At 34.5% G+C, this 18,394-nt stretch overlaps 1 protein-coding gene across 3 annotated transcripts in view; it reads left to right on the forward strand.

Annotated features, from left to right (window-relative positions):
• Positions 1 to 18,394, forward strand: part of VWC2L (von Willebrand factor C domain containing 2 like) — a 167,923-nt gene that overhangs the window by 822 nt on the left and 148,707 nt on the right. For all 3 annotated transcript variants that reach the window (NR_159945.1, NM_001080500.4, NM_001345929.2), the window contains exon 2: positions 2,239 to 2,708. Coding sequence is in view for 2 of the 3 variants with exons in the window: in NM_001080500.4 (NP_001073969.1) it covers positions 2,319 to 2,708 (390 nt within the window). In the remaining variant the exon portion in view is untranslated. The remainder of the gene's footprint in view (positions 1 to 2,238; positions 2,709 to 18,394) is intronic.

An 18,394-nucleotide genomic window follows, 5' to 3' on the forward strand; every position in this document is an offset into this window, starting at 1 on the left:
GGGGAAAATTAAGCTGGGAAGTGATCCTCAGTTTAGCAGTGTTTGCTTTCTTTTTAAAAATCTTCAGATAAACATTACATTTGATTTATCCCATGTTTCTTCTCTTAAATAGTATCTTAAATTGTACTAGGGCAGCTCAATTATGAAGGCTTTTTTTTAAAAAAAAAATAGCCTAAGAACTTTGTTATATTGAAAATAAAATCTTGTTTTTTACCATGCAGATTTTAAGATATATTTCATATAATAAAAACATATTTAATGTTTATATAAAGTAGATATTACATTCCTATTTTTACCTCTAAGTTTACATTTACCATAACCTAACACATTAATGCCTACCTGTGGCTTACAAAGAGATCATTTTCTGCCTATGTCCCTTTGAAGCAGAATCATATGTGTATTTTATATGGCTTATCTTGCATGCATTGACAGATATTGCTGGAATATTATAAGGAAGCACAGTAGCTTTCTTTTCCTCCAAGATAAACTTTCTAAATATGTGATGTATAAATGCTTGCTTTAATTAGTAAATTATATTTATGCTTTTTCAGAAGCTTCTGTTATGTTTGTTATCTCTGTAGTAATTTGAGAGAAAAAAATGCTTTGTCAAAGGGAGCTTCCAGATTCTCAAGTAGAATTATAGGTTTGCATTTTCTTGTTCTGTCATGACTTATTATTTTTGACATATTTTATAAGAAATCATCGGCTTTATTACCTACCCAAAGGGAATTCTAATATCAGAGGATATCAGAGTAATTCTGATATCAGCTTTCTCCAGAAAGAGGGCATACTACCTTCCATTTTACTATTACTAGAACTTGTATATCTACCTTAAAATGCAAATATAATAGTTTATGAAGTTTCCTAATGTCATCTTTATCTTGTTATCGTCTGTATATGTTAGACTGAAAAGAGATGGTTTATCATTGCTCTTAATATAATCTGAAAATAAACCAATGTATAACATTTATAACTGACCTGAAAATGTCCTGTATACCATCTTAGTGTTATTGGCATGAAGCCAATAGCATTTAAATAAAAAAATGAGCTATTTGACAATACTTTTTCTTATTTATTACTCCCTAAAGTCACAGTCTCCCCAGAGCCTCTGTGTGATTTAGTTATTCTAAATATTTAAATAAGAGCCCACTCCCAACACTTCACATCAAGCACCAATACTAAGTGGAGTTTACAAGAGTCAGTGTCACAAAATTAATAAGGCATATTTTCTATGAATGGTTAACACTTAATTACAGTTTTAAGCAACTTCCATAAAGAATTTTATGCTGGCATCTTTGTGCAGATTTTGTACATGTAAATATTTTTGACATTTCAAGAGTTATGTTTTCAAGATCTCATAAATTGTATTTATATTATATTGCAAATTTTAATTTAAATAATATTACATATATACTAGATTCAAGTTACTGTGAAGTAAATTTATAGATAGATCTTTCCTGCCCACTAGGAGCTTCCTTCCTATGTAAAATAATGTGGACAATAATACAAATAAATTTGTTTTTAACAAACTCTTTTAAGCACATGGAATTCTCTTGTATTATTTATTATTTCAAATTTTCTTTCTCTTAATCACTATGGAATAGTTATGTTGTTTTTGTTATCAACTTTATTTCAAAAATCCAGACTCACATTCACTTAAACAGGTAACTGATGTTGACGCCATTGTTGTTCTTTAATTATGGGCATAAATAAGTAGGAAATCCTTTATAGTAGCTCCTTCCTAAATATAATTTATATTCAACTGTTGGTTTATTCCCTTTCCTTTAGAATTAGATTTTTTTCTCACTAATCTCTTGAGTTGACACAGATAATTATAACATATGTTCCATCACTGACTAGTCCAGTTTAAAGAATAATAGAAAATGTGAGTTCAAATATTCTTGAGCTATTTGTAAGTTACTCCTTGGATCACATTTTGGGGCTCAGTAAAACCATTTCTTTGCAATTTAGATAAAGCCAGACCTATGAAATTCAGAAGGAAAATTCAAGCTGAAGGTTCCTATATAAAATAATCCAAAAGGACAAATTTTAATGCATATATTGCCAAGTATCAACTCTCCAAACCTCACAATAAGGCACAGATAGTTGCATGAACTTAGTCTATTTGAGGACTTAGTATCTTCAAATTGATCCCAAACAGTTTAAGAGCGTGGGCTTAAATGAATCTATCTTCACTTTATATATGTCAAATTATTCTTTTTAAATATTTATTTTCAGCCTACCCCTCTTGTATTCCCATGGAAGGAGCTGAGTATATTTAATATTAGGAGCACATCCAGAAGTCTTTGAAGAGGGGGATGGCTCTTCATATTCATGAAGCTTGCATACTTCTGTTGGTCATCCCTGGATTGGTCACCTCTGCTGCTATCAGTCATGAAGACTATCCTGCTGATGAAGGTGACCAGATCTCCAGTAATGACAATCTGATCTTTGATGACTATCGAGGGAAAGGGTGTGTCGATGACAGCGGCTTTGTATACAAGTTGGGAGAACGATTTTTCCCTGGGCATTCCAACTGTCCATGTGTCTGTGCTCTAGATGGACCTGTTTGCGACCAACCAGAATGCCCTAAAATTCACCCAAAGTGTACTAAAGTGGAACACAATGGATGCTGTCCTGAGTGCAAAGAAGTAAAAAACTTCTGTGAATATCACGGGAAAAATTACAAAATCTTGGAGGAATTTAAGGTATGCGTTACCCTCCATATTTATTGAAATATCAACTTTTCATACCACGTGCTTAGTACATTGCTACATTAAAGTCAGAGTTGGAAAAATGTACTTTAAAATTTCCCTTTAAATTATACAATTTGATTCTAATTACCATAAGTAGCACCATGGTCAACAAATGGCCAACTGGTTTGTTGATCATATTTGTTAAGTTGCACAATAACCTTTATTTTTTTTCCCAGAAGTATTTGGGGCATACCTAACACCTTTTATTTTTGCCCTTAAACATTTCTTCTCTGTTATTACAAAATATGTTTTCTGATGGGAACAATTTTGTGTATAGTGTATGTGTCTCCTAAATTAATTTTTTAATTGTGTCAGTTTTGTGTGTTGCTTATTAGCCTGTATTTGAAGTCATTTAACAATATAGTCTAGAATTATTTGTTTATTGTGTGGAAAAGCTACAGAGATATACTTCTTAGCTGTGGTCCTCATATTAAGAAAATGCATTGGGCCTACTTGTGGTCAAGCAAGATCCCCATTCTGTTCTCTGCTCGCTGGATTTTTTGCTTTCAGGATTCCACAGAGAACTGAATTTTTATCACAATCCATGTAAAGAGTAGTAAAAAAGACTGTAATTTTTTTCAGCCTACCTGGTATTTTTTAGTTTTTCTTTTACGCTTGCGTCATATTTTCAAAGTAGCTTAGAGTTCATTTTTATCCCTTATTGAACTTTCTTTTCCCCAATGGCTAGTTTTAATTGGGATATCCTACAAGCCTGATCTGAACCCTGAAGGTATGAATACATGAAAAATGTCCACCTTAAATGTAATGGCAGTTTGTGCCTGGAGTGTCTGTCATACTGATGGCTTTATATAAAATGTTCCCATTTCATCTAACCAAGTTCTGTGATGAGGTGCTCAGAACCTTAGAGGTAAAAGCAGATATAGCTAGTTTTCAGTGTGGGTGTTTATGTATGAGAGAAGACATTTCCATTATTAGCACTGACCCAACTTCTCTCACCACAAGGGTCAAATGGTGCCAGAAATCAGTATGTAGAAAAAAGGTCTCAACTGATCATCATTAGCATAATCTGTGTATTCATAGTTAATTGTATTTAGTTCATTATTAACCTGGAATGAACCAGGTTAGCGGTTCAAGCCAGTTCTGATTTACCCAAGAATACCCAGTCATTGGAACTAGATTCCTTAGGACAAAAGGGAAATTTTAATTGTGACATTCAACTTCCTTAGACATGTTATTCTCGACTTTTGTCTTTCGTGTATTATTTTATTGCACAAAATTAAGAAGTAAAAGCATGAGAGTCTAGTAAAAGTATCATTGTTGACACCAAATAATAGTTGAGAGTAGAGTACATTTATTAATGGTTTTATGATCTCTAAAATATTGTATATATTTTGACATTACCTATTTTTAATGTCATCTTAATGGAAGTAAGTAGAAGTACTCAACACACTTGATTCTAGCAGTCATATCACCCTTTTCTAACCTGCATTTATATCTAGACTAGAATACAAAAGGGTATTGTAGGAACAGCGTTTCATAACTAGCACAAATAAAAACATAAGTTTCTGAGATTTATATAATTTGGTAATCTGTATTTAATAAAGAAAATATTGTCTAACTTAACTCACTATTGAAAATGCTATAGTTTTCCCTCTATTTATTAGATTTTACTACAAAGATAATAACTATGTTACCATGTCAAACAATATAGAGGTATTTAAAGAAAAAGTTAATAATTTCTGTACCCCTTCTCGTTATAACCCTACTATAATCTAATTAATCCCTACTACTTCTTTCCTAATGTATGATCCATTAATATGCACAGCTTTTTCACCTGGCTTTTTGTGTCATAAAATTTTTGATGTGATTTTTAAAATAATAGATATCACTTTTTTTAACAAGAATTTAGAGTCATAAAGAGTTTTAGAGACTATATAGGGCAAATGTGTCAGAATGAGAAACTGAGACCAAAAAAGTATAAATTACTTATCCAAAATTGTCAAGTTATTTATCTTAATTCTAAATGCTGCCATTCTAACATACTATATGATCTCTCAAAGCAGTTTGTCACTAAGGTCAGATAGACTTGGATTCGAATCCCAAATTCATCACTTGGATATAAATTTTTGAATGGAGTTCTTAAACTTTTTGATCCATAGTGGTATTGACCATAAAATAGCCATTGTAATAATCACTTTCCTTAGGAGGAGAGGTTGGAAATTCTTAATAACATATAATTTCTCTGAAGTCACTAACCTTGTGATGACGGGTACACAATAGGTATTAAATAAATGATTGTCCCCTCCTTCTTAACTCTAATATCCAGGGATTTACTCTAAATTCTAAATTCCTCTATGGCTTTGCCTACATTTTATAATGAAAGTTCAACTTTAAAAGACTTTCAAATGAAGAATTCTCATACCTTTTTAAAATGCTCTACTTATCCCTATGAACCATACAACTCTAAGTAAATATTAGCCATAATCTGTCATCTTGATTCTCTTCCAACTCAGCTTGCAAGGAACAAGTCATTAATTATTAAAGATGCATAAAACTTTCATATAATAATGTTGATATGTCAATTAGGGAGGTTGTATTATGAGATAATCTTCACATAAATATATTCATCCAACAAGCATTTATCAGACCGTTCAGTAGATAAGATACTGTAGACGTACTTACAATTGAAAGTAGGATATCTAGAAACCAAAATCTCTGCTCACAAGAAAGACATGATCGATGTGAAGAGAGAAGGGGGAAAAAGCAGGTAAAAGTTAAGTATATGATTATGAAATCCCAATATAACTCCCAAGAGATTGTGATGGCAGAAGCTTATCAAAATAGTATGAGGCTTGGTTAAGCAAGAGATTTGTCTTCAGGATGCTAACCCTATACATCTTGTAGAGCTGCCTGTTCTTCAAGAAGTACTTGAAATTGATCTGGGAAGACTGAAATTCCAAAGACGAAACTGCCAGAGCAAAATCAGAGATTGGGATGAATACAGTCTGCAAAGAGGAGGGAGATGGGTATAATTGGAAGCTAGATATGACTAAAATGCTATCCTAGTAAGAGGCAAATTCAGATATGTGTCGGTGGAGAGTGGATGGAAGGGCCTTGAATACTGGGCCAAAATATTTAGATTCATCTGAAGAATAATAGGAAATAAAATGCGGATTGTTCTGTACATAGATGACCTAGTTAAACATAAATAAAAATGAATGTCCTATATCCAAGCACAGAATTGAATAGAAGTAAAGAGAAATTAATAGTGGAGGAAGGAAGTCTGTTGCAGAAAAAAAGAGAATGAGGTGCACAAGCACAAAGACATTCAGGACAGTTTTCAGGGTAAAATCTAATTTCCCTGCTGTAGCCTAGATTCTACTCATCAACCTCTCCAAATCCCTCAAACTCTTGGTGGCTTTTTTTCCCTGTGTGTTTGCACTGCTGTTCCACAGTATGGAACACTTTTTCAACATTGCTCCCTGTTTAAATCCTACTGGACCACTTCAAGGCTCCATTTAAATCTCACCTCAACTGGAAACCCCTCTCTGTCTGTCCTACCTCATATCTCCCACACTGTATCACTCCTTCCGTATGTTCCCACGGCCTGCTATACACACCATCACTACAAGAACAGTAACTGTTGTCTGATACTGTGAAGAGCTTTATGTATATTATAACACATTTTATTTTACAATAACACTGTGAGAATTATACTTTTATTAGCACTGTTTTACGGATAAGAAAACTGAAGCAGCAGAGTGTAAGTAACTTGTCCAAGACCATACAGCTGGAAAGAGGAAAAAGTAGGACTCCAAGCCAGGCAGCTTGACTGCAGAATCTAAGCTCCTCACCACTTCTAGTGATCTACCCCACAGCAATAATGTAATACATCACACTGCAATAATATTAAATCATGTAAAATATAATATGAAATAATATCATATGAAACCACTCGTCTCTTCCATTAGTCATTGAACCCTTCGAGGCTAGCGACACTGTTTTCTTTTTTCTTTTCCCCTCTATTCCCAACACCGTGTGAGCTATGTAACAGTCATTTAATACCTTTTTTGATGAATAGCATACCAGGTCAAATTGTAATCAAACCTATAGGATAAAGAAGTTAGAATTTCTTTAGAATGATTTAGTTTCTGTTTATGTGTTGATCTCTTCATTTTAATTAAAGAAGCACTGAAAGTTGAGACAAAAAATGCTCTTTGGGCAGTTAAAATGGCACACATTGTTCTCTTATGATAAGACTGCCTATTTTCGTCCTGCCTTTACTTTCTTCCTCTCTCAACCCCTTCCTCACCAAGGGTTGTCTTGGATTCTGTCTCCATCCCAGCATCGCAATGACTACCCAGTGTTTTAGCTGTACTGTCTCACCCTATGCAGTTGCAAATCATAGGTCACACTTCAATATTTTCTGATCACCAAATTCAAATGTAAATTGATCCACATGTGTCACCTGATAGGAAAACTGATGTCATTTATAAAGGTTGTGGGATTTTTGTGGGGTTTTTATTTCATTTACTGATGCAAGCTTTGAAAATGAATTTCTCTCTATTCTTTTTGAAAACTCTAAATTCTCCAGGGTTCTGGTAATATTGTATTAAGATAAAGGTCACTGTATAGTAGGTTCTCTCATCTTTCTTTTATGTGCACCCCGGCAATATGACACTGGAACCTACTTTTTGAGAAATAAAGCATATAAATAATACATTATAATAGCAGTTTCTACCAGAAAAAGTTTATTGGAAATGTAGGCTTAACTATCTTAATGCTGAGTTTCTCAAAGGAAGAAATAATTTCTTATTTTGCTCAGTATTTTTATAACTCTGATTCTGCTAGAATTAGCTTTTTTGACTATTTCCTTATACTTTAGAACTTGTACTGATTTAGTTGTAGGTCATACACTGAAGGTTATACTACATGTAGCTGAAAGAAACCTTTCAGCTTTTGCATAGCTTGTTTTATTTTAAAGTGATTTTCTGCAGCCAATTCCCAGTGTCCCTAATTCAGGATTTGGATTTGCCCAAGATCAGTGCCCTGCTGACACTGACCTTTGTGTTTTTCCCACTATGGGCCAAAGACAGTGGACCAGGTCTCTGAATTCTATATTCGAAAGGTGCGGTGTGAATATTTTTTCAAGTCAAATGTCTTATGGGTTTGTTGTTGCTTTTATAAAAATGAGCCTGTTTTCAGGATGCCAAGTTTTTGCCCTGAATTTTATACTTAATATTTAAATCTCAAGAGAATAAAAGGGGACCCGCCTGGCCAACATGGTGAAACCCTGCCTCTACTAAAAATACAAAAATTAGCTGGGTGTGGTGGCGGGCACCTCTAGTCCCAGCTACTCGGGAGGCTGAGGCAGGAGAATCGCTGGAACCTGGGAGGTGGAGGCTGCAGTGAGCAGAGATTGCGCCACTGCACTCCAGCCTGGGCAACAGAAGGAGACTCTGTTCCAAAAAAAGAAATAAGAAAATTAAGCCGTGGGATTATTTTGCCAAGTCATCACACTCATAAAAATTGTTGATGCCAATTTGGATTTAGAATTGATTTGCCCTTTAATGGGTATATTCACACAGAGACAAAAATTTCAACCTTCTCATTAATAGGTGCCACATTGTTAATGTCCAATATTGTAAAATTAAATCTGTAAAAACGTTTGAGTGGGAAGAATTTTGGAATTCAGGTTTGGGAGAGTCATTTGACGTCTAGTTGTTTTTTTAATATGGAGAAGAAAATGGAAGGCAACATGTTCTAGGAGCTGAGGACCAGACTTATGAAAGAACAGGGAAAACCAGAGGCTGTAGAGATATCTCAGTTGAGGGGACTAACAGGTAGGTAACACTTTGCACAGCACAATTCACTGCCCCTTGCCTACTTACCCACCTGCCATTGCACGAGTGTCTATGAAAAGCACAGGAACTAAGTCAGATGTTTACACAAGGCAAAGGAGTACAAAAAGCATATATATGAAGTATGAAGCCTGTATTTATTTTAATAACAGAGAAATCAGTGGATTATGAGAATAGAGGTGCAGTTTTTAAAGAGTTTTATACAAAAGAGGGTTTTCATTTCTCAACAAATGGGTAGTGGAGTCACCAGGGGCATTTTTAAGATACTATCCCAAGAAAGAACTAGAAAGCATCATGATTTTATGCGGCAAAGATAATTGGGGATCTTTGTAGAGAGGTTGAGAAGATTAATTCCATAATTATTGGCTCTGCAAAATGCAGTTTCTGTTTTGCAGAGCATGTTGTGGCTTTTAACATTAAAATGGCTTTGAGTGAGTTAAAAGGAATGCCTTCCCCTTTCAAGTTGCTACAAAATAACAGTGATTGAGACCTTACAATTGCTTATCTGAGGCTCAGCCTCAGCATGCAGAATGAGTGGGTTCAAAGTGGATATTCTCAATGGGGGATTCCCATCTTCGTAAGTAACTGGGGAACCTTTACGTAATTTTTATACTCTTTGAGTAATTTCATTCCAGAGATTAGAAGTCAATTTTATTAAAAAATTTATAATGTTCACTGCACACTTTTTGCACCCACAAAAGTACACTAAAAGTTTTTTGCACTCACAGAAGTACATGAAATCTAGGAAAAAATCTACTTTTAAAATAATTTTTCTTAAAAAATTGCATTGATAATTGAGTGTTATCCTTTTGATATTAAGTACTTTCTAAAAGAGAGTAGAATTATAAGAATAAATGGCTTCCAAATTAATTCCCAAAGGAGTGAAATAGCTCATTGACAGTCAGAACTACAGTCTCTTACTTTACATTTTAAGAGAATTGATGGTCAGCTAGCCCTTTTGTTAGTTATATATAGGAGTAGTTTTTCATACTCACTTACCAATATTTATTGCTGTCCTTCATATTGGAAGATGCTGCTGTTAATGGTGATAACTGTGTGACAAGCGTGACTACCGAGATTTGTGACTGGGCTTCTGTGCCGTGTGCACATTGGGAGATCGGCGTTGATTTGCAGCCACATCTGAGATTTGCGGAGCTTGTCACTGTTAGTGACTACCCCAGACTTGAGGTCAGTCATCAGTAGTTTACAGACATGATTGCCCATTCCTTACTGACTCACCCACATTGAGAGAAGATGAAGCTGAAAAAAAGAATGACCTGGTAGTCTCCCTTCCAGATTTTAACTCCAACTGTACATGGTTTTGGATATGTTAAAAAAAATTGCCTATTTTTAATTGTTTCTCCTCACCAAAAGACAGAATTGGTTAATCGGGTGATATTAACAAGCATAATTTTTTTCTATTTCCTACATCTTTTTTTTTTTTTTTTTTTTTTTTGAGACGGAGTTTCGCTCTGTCGCCCAGGCTGGAGTGCAGTGGCGCGATCTCGACTCTGCAAGCTCCGCCTCCCGGGTTCACGCCATTCTCCTGCCTCAGCCTCCCATGTAGCTGGGATTACAGGCGCGTGCCACCATGCCCGGCTAATTTTTGTATTTTTAGTAGAGACGGGGTTTCACCGTGTTAGCCAGGATGGTCTCGATCTCCTGACCTCGTGATCCGCCCGTCTCGGCCTCCCAAAGTGCTGGGATTACAGGCGTGAGCCACCGCGCCCGGCCTATTTCCTACATCTTATTTCATAACACAGGCCTACATATCTTTGGCAAATTTTGCAGATTAATTTATAACCTATATAATCTAGATTTTAATTGCTCCATACATGCATTAATTTGTGTGTGTGTGTGTGTGTGTGTTAAACTGGAAGGAGCAAGAGTGTTCTTACTTTAAGAAAATCTTGTTTTAAGATATTAAATCTTTTTGTTCCTTCTTCTTAATCCCCATGAACATATTTTCACTTTGTTTTGTTATCCTGCATCTTAATTTATACATCAGGCACTGTGTTTTATGAAGGACAGCACAAGAAAAACCTATCGGTGTATTTTTTAGTTGTCTTTTAGGGAAGCGTTTGAAACAAATAACTAAGAGGAGAGTTGAAGTGATCAATGTCTTTGCTTTCTCAAACAATAGGCATTATTAATTGGGAACTGGCTTATTTTAGAGTCTGTACTTTGGGTTTTATCATCACTACTGATTAGCATCAGTAATTTCAGTCTAACACACTTCCATTGTTGATTTCCTTGCCTCTAGCCTGCTGTAGAGTATATCACAATAAACCATCTTTGCAAAGATTTAATGACATCATGGAAAGAGTGAATAAAGTACTAAAGTGACAAGAAAGATCATTCAGCTCCTGAAAAAGTTTTCAGATGACATTATTCTATGGCTGTATAAAGTTGTCTACAGGGTATAAACATGCACTGAACACTACTCTTAATTTTCCCATTATGTCACATAACCATGAACAAAACTCAAATACGTTTATTCTGGCTACAGAATTGATACAATAATGAGACCATATATATCTTATGAAGAATAAATAGTATTGAAGATTTGAAGATTATAATATTACATATCAATTTGTAACAATTACCAAAGCTCAGAAGGTTTTTTTTAATTAAACATTATTGGGTTGGGATTTTGAAATAATTTTTGTTTTAGTATTTACCTTTCACTACCATTGTTACATCTTGGTTTGGGATTTTATTTCTAGTATCTGCATTTATATAAATTTTTCTGTTTGTAAAAAGGCAGGCATTATGGTTTCTTTTTTATAGTCTAGGTCCTTTCTACTTTTGAGCGCTGACCATAGAATTTTAGATCTAAAACAGAACTTTGAAATTATTTTATCTGACTCCCTTATTTTAGAGGTGATAAAAGAAAGACTAACAGAAACTTAGTGATAACACACTTCCATTGTGCCAAATAATGGCACAGCTCATTATTTGCAAAAGCAGTATTAATATGTCACTTTCCTGTGATCTTTTTTCTATATTTTACTACCTTCAGGTTTAACAGAAAAATACCAGCTCATTTGCATCTTCTTTTCCAATAAATATGTTGGATTCAATGATTTATCTCAGCCAATTGTCTATAGAAATGTGATATCAGGACCTATCACCATGACAACACAGAGTTACAAGTAGACAAGAACAATAAAATACTGGCACATCAAAAATCAGTCTTTGATACAGATTGAGTACAATTTGTCAAACTAGCCTAAGTTTCCAAAGGCTGTAATAAAAATGGGGCCCATTGTCTAAAACAGAAAAATTATGTAATTAAACCAAACAATATAGGCCAAAATAAAATTAAAATATATTACATTAAACATTACCCATTTATTTTCACTGAGACTACTTTATACTTGGATGTAACAAAGGAGCAAAATTAGCTGTGCTTTCTCATGTATTTTGATGGTTTTAGAAAATGAGGACCCATTTTTTTTTTCACTTAGCAAACTCTCACCTCTCACTAGATGGCAGGAATGGAGTATGCAAAATAGATGGTATATGCAAAAATCTCTAATTCTGTGGCATTAGAACAACAACAACAACAAAAATCTCTAAACTGGCTGATGATCAATATCACCTAAGGAAGGACTGTTGCAAAAATTCAGATTCCTTGACCTTTCCATCTTAAATTCCAATTTACATCATTTAAATCTATGTTATTCTAAAGTTTCTCAGATTATTATAATTCTCAGTAGGGTTTGGGAATCACTGCTATAATTCAGCCTTTTCTAGATTGTTTTCTAAGGAATGCTAGCATCCTGTGTGATTGTTCATAAGGGTTTCAGTTATTTTTCATGGTCAAATAAATTTGAGAAATGATGCATCCTTTAACCTCTCTTGGAAATGAGCAGTACACGTTAGTATACTGAGACTACTTGAGCATACTGAAAGTTAGGTTTGTTTGAGAGTTAGTACGTATAGTTCAACAGCTGAGAGCTCAAAAGTGTGGTGAAAATTGGATTTTAAAGCCGGCCCTACCACTTACCAGCCAACTGACCTAGGCACACATTACTTCACCTCTTTCTCTATGTACACATCTATAAAAGAGAGATAATAGTAGACAGTACTTGGCATGCACCATGTGATTTATAAAAGCTACCTGATATTTTTACTACGATTACTATTAATACTAAACTGTATTTCATCCAGAATTTCACAAATTTATGTGACAGTAGAACACTTTTTTTTCTCAGAACACTTATTAACATCTTAAAGTTCACAAAAGTTCAATGAAACACAGTTTAAGAAATATTTTTCTAATGATTCAAGATAGGCTAATTCCTTTGACTTTTATGAGCAGTTAATGATGAAAATCTATTTTTTCTCAGCTTATCTTTTAATATTTTGTCCTTTGTAAAGTTCCCAAAATTGTATTTAATGCGATTATTTATGGAAATGTATTAATTTGTGTTACAAAAGACAATTTAGTTGAAAAATGACTTTTAAAAAATAGTGGTAATATCAACTACAAGTAATGGATTCTCTAAGACAAGGGTCAACACACTATGCTCCATGAGCCAGATCCAGTTCACAATCCATTTTATTAATAAAGCTTTATTAAAACACAGCCATGCTCATTCACTTACATATTGTCTATGGTTGCTTTTAGAATATTCCAGGCACTGTATGACCCACAAAATCTAAAATATTTACTATTTGGCTTTCTATAGAGAAGGTTTGCTGATCCTTGCCTAATCTGGAATCAGATATTCTTCCCTTTCTACTTCTCTCAAACTGTGCTGTCACCAAATCCTTCTAACTTGCACTCTTGAAGGTTACAGCCGTTTGGGTACTGCTGGATATCAGTTCTCTTTAATCAGTGCGTGGTCTCAGGGATCTCTTTTCACACAAGTAAATTTCAAAAAGCCTGTAGATTTGCCTATTTTAAATGTATACATACTTAACAGCAGGCATGTTCAATCCTATTTCTCTGCATTCCTGACTCAAAAGAGCACAGCTTTGCTCTTTGCACTGATGTATCATAACTTAATAATTTTCCATTCACTGAAAATTCTCAAATAAAACAGATAAAGATTAATTTTTTATCTTTTTATATCCCATGTGTTCTCTTTTGATAAGTCAAAAAGTTATCTTTAATTTAATATAATAGATATATTTAGGATTATATTAAGTGAAAACATGTATACATTATTTCTGCTTACTTAGGTACTCAGTCCATTATTGCATTTGTAAAATCAGCTTACATACACAATCCACAGTTTGATCCCATTAAATAAATATCCCTTTCATATAGAGAAGCGGTAGATCTTGTGGGCTATACCAAAATATAGAAGACAGAAATCTGACCCTCAAGGTGCGCCTAGTCTATCTAAAGGAATAATACAGGTACCACTGATGATAAGTAGCTTATGATGACTGCTCTAGGAACTCAGATGAAGAAAGAATTCAGATCGGGCACGGTGGCTCACCCCTGTAAAACCAGCACTTTGGGAGGCTGAGGCGGGCAGATCACCTGAGGTCAGGAGTTCAAGACCAGCCTGGCCAACATGGTGAAACCCCATCTCTACTAAAAATACAAAGATTAGCCTGGCATGATGGTGGGTGCCCATAGTCCCAGGTACTTTGGAGGCTGAGGCAGGAGAATCACTTGAACCCAGGAGGTGGAAGTTTCAGTGAGCCGAGTTCTGGCCATTGCACACCAGCCTGGGTGATAGAGTGAGGCTTCGTCTCAAAAAAAAAAAAAAAAAAAAAAAAAGTAATTCAGTCTGAAGAACTAAAGGAAGATATGCTAAGAGTGGGGGTTGCAATGCATTAAAAGCAGTTTAGACAAAATTGGAACGTTTGCAAACCTAAAGGCAAAGCTTATTCAGAGAAATGGTGTCAAGCCGAGTGACAAGATCAAAGGGTATACAGAGTTAGAAATAAGAGTGAGGCGGGAGCATGGGACCAATTCACAGCATGAATGCTAGGCTAAGGAGCTTGGGTCAAAGTCTGAACTGAGTAGACAGCCACCAAACGGCTTAGATCAAAGAAGCAACAAAACTAGATTTGTGCCTAAAACAAATACCAATAATAGTTGGCAATTTCATTAAGTATCTTGCACATGCATTTCCTTATTAAATTATTGAATCCTAAAATATTTTCACTCCCATTTCACAAATGAGAAAACCAAGATTCAGAGAAATTTGTGCCTTTGTCCTTGTCATATAAATGGAGATTATCAAACTTGGCAAATCAAAAAAGGTCTTCTAACTCTAACTCTAGGGTTTTCTCTCATATCTTACCAGCTTTGATTAATTCACTATGAACATTATGCAAGTAATGTGGTAGAGATAGTGTAGTTTTCATTTTGGGTGTATATATTTCCTATATTGTTGAATGTGTTCAATTATAAGTCTATTTCATGTTTAGTCACCTCTTTTTCACAGAAATGTGGCACATTGCTAACATGAGGAAAATTCTTTCCCTGCTTTATAGGGCTTGACTGGTTTCATTTTAAAAAGCTCCCACTGTCAAAAGAAGTATGCTTCTAAGGCACATTCCTATCCATTTAAAAAACAAACTGCATTCTGAATGCAGTGAGGATTGGCCAGGATTATTTTTGCCAATTTAGAGATTAAAAACAAAATTCTAAATCAGTGAAATACAAATTTTTAAAAAAGAAAATGCAAAACTTGTTAATAATTCTTGCAGTCTTAGAAATGCACACTCTCTAATACTTCACTTATTTTCACACGTTAGCTTTATTGCTCTCTCCTAAATATGACAGAGAAAAAAACAAAATTGTTCAGTGTAACTTTAATTTTCCCCCAACATTAAAAATAAAATCCTGCTAAAATTGCAAACCTTTGACTGCTGAGATGTAGAAAGCTTCATTAGAGACAAAAAGGAGAATCAGAGAATTTTTCTTTTGTTAATGAGACTCTAGGACATTCACATTGAAACTAAAAGATACTTAAATCAAGACTCCAAAAACTGTGAGCTAAAGTTACCCTGTTAAAAATCTGTTTTTGGCAAGAATCTGATTAAAGATTGAAGTTTCATCTCTGTAAATAAGAATCCAATTAACTATCTAAAAATACTGTCCAATGCCATTCTCAATCGAACCACAATTTGAGTGCAAACATTGTTGTGTTTTAGAGATGTAACACAGATTGCTTTCAAAACTCTGAAAGATGTACAATTGTCCCTGGGTATACACACACAGAGGATTGGTTCCAAATCCTCTCCAATACCAAAATCTGCAAATACTCTGTAAAACTGTAAGATACAAATTTCTTACATAAAATGGATTAGTATTCGCATATAGCCTATGCACATTCTCCCATACACTTTAAACTATTTCTAGATTACTTATAATTTCAAATACAATGTAAATGCTGTGTAATAGTTCATTATACTGTATTGTTTAGTAATAATGGTAAGAAAAATAGTCTGTAAATGTTTAGTACAGAAAACCATCCATTTCCTTTCCAATACAGTATTTTTGATTCACAGTGGGTTGAATCCATGGATATGAAACCCACGGATATGAAGGGCTGACTGTATGTTTTACAAATTCAACATTTCAAATAATTCACAATGAATATCATTATGCCGTAATTTAATAAGAATAAGTTATAACTAATATGCTCCCTTGAGGAATACACAGCCATTGCAAATGGACGAAGAGTGGGGAAGGAAACTCTGACGAAGTTGAAAGCTATGATGGCAATCATAGTCATGTAATCAATCCCACATCGTTTACATGTGCTTTCACATATTATATAGTTTAGTCTCAAAACAATCCAATGAGAAAATTAGAGCACTCTTAATATTTTATTATTAGCTCCATCTTACAAGCGAAAAACCCAGGCTCAAGAGGTTTAAGTAACCTGTCCAAGGTAGAACAGCAAGCTATATTTCATGCCAGGATTTCAGCTGCAAATGTGCTTATTTCACATTATCATATAGCCAAGTTCCACTGGGTGATAGCACTAACAATTTTTATACATGGTTACAAAATTATCACTGCTTCTGCCATACCTTGTCCCAAAGTTATACACTAAAGTAGAGAGGTTTATCAAGAAAGTACTCAGTCAAGATTTTTTAAATTAAAATATGTTTTCATGTTACTGCCCATAAGCCATCTCAATATATTTTTGTGGAATGAGATAAGCTATGAACTAAGCATCAAATAATGAACTATCAAATTCAGTAGGAAATTACTGTTTGGACTTTAGAAATATATTTCAATACCAGCAGTGATAAAGCACTTGTTATTATTATATTTTAATTACTCTTTCTTCATAACCTGTCAAAGTATGACATCAGCAAATATAAAATGAAGAAAAAATTTCAATTTTTAGAAAATCTTTGCACACAGACAGTGGCAAAAAAAAAAAAAAAAAAAAGGAGTTCCTGAGAAATAATCTGATTGGCACTTCTAATACAAATGGGTTTGGTTGTTCCAGGGTGATAACTCCCATCCCTTAGACCCTAAAAGGTCTTAAATTCAGTGTCATCCACACACGTTTAGCAGGCTGAGTTATGGCTCTTTCTCTTTTCTGTTATCACTTCCTTTCAATGTTTTCTGCAGAATAGGCCAGGTCATATTCATCTCCTATGATTCTTTCAGGCTGTAGAATTCTCCTAGTGATGTACTCTTCCCCAACCATATGTGACCTTGCTTTATTGCTGTTGTAGATGACTGATTCTTTGTCTGATATCAACAATCTCTCCTTTCCAGTGTCAACAGAAAAGTTTTGAAGTTACACAGTTGCTCACTTTTTTCCTGTTGCATAAACGGGCGATAAATGTAGCACCTTCAGCATGAAAATACATGGGTTCTGCTTACAGTACTCAGTTGCTTTGTCAAGAATGTTTTTTATACCAAAGCCAACTGTCAATCCAGCTTGTCAGTGAAGGACTAAGGACGGCTGCTTTTCCTGAGTATTTCACAAGTATAGGTGTGATACTTCATCAAAACCTCGATTTTATATTAAATCCTCAAGTTTTTGTCTATATGTCTGGGCCCTCCTTTGATTATCATAAAGGCAGCTAAATTATCTTTTTCCTCTCTTAAATATACCCTGATATTTCCTTGATAAGCATACTGTGCCTACTTTAAAAAAAATACATCTTTGATTGCAAATAAACAGATATTATTGCTTACATTCTCCTTACCTATATTTTTTAAAATTTACATTTATATGTTTTCTTCATATTTTGGAAAAAGCTGCATTTTATTGTCATGAGACTCCTTGAAAATGTTGAGGAAAAATATCGGTTCTTCACACCATCAGTTTGTTGGTATAGGCAGAAAATTATAGGGTTACCTGCCCTTAAATATATACTAAAGTATATTTTTAAAACTTTACCAAAAAAATTTTATTTTATTTTTTATTATTATTTTTCTTTTGAAATGGAGTCTTGCTCTGTTGTCCAGGCTGGAGTGCAATGGCGCAATCTTGGCTCACTGCAACCTCCGCCTCCTGGGTTCAAGCAATTCTACTGCCTCAGCCTTCCGAGTAGCTGGGACTACAGGCACCTGCCACCACGCCTGGCTAATTTTTGTATTTTTAGTACAGGTGGGGTTTCACCATGTTGGCCAGGCTAGTCTCAAAATCCTGACCTCGTGTGCTGCACCTGCCTCGGCCTCCCAAATTGCTGGGATTACAAGCGTGAGCCACCGTGCCTGGCCAGGAAGAAAATAATTTTAGGAAAAAAAAAAATAGAACATTGATAAAATGTCACTGTTGTGTAGCAACAATGGCAATTTCAAGAATGAGCAAACTTTACTTGATAATTAATAATTACAATTGGGTACTTCATCAGTTGTTTTCCAAT

The sequence above is a fragment of the Homo sapiens genome, chromosome 2, assembly GCF_000001405.40.
Source record: "Homo sapiens chromosome 2, GRCh38.p14 Primary Assembly".
Lineage (NCBI taxonomy): Eukaryota > Metazoa > Chordata > Mammalia > Primates > Hominidae > Homo > Homo sapiens.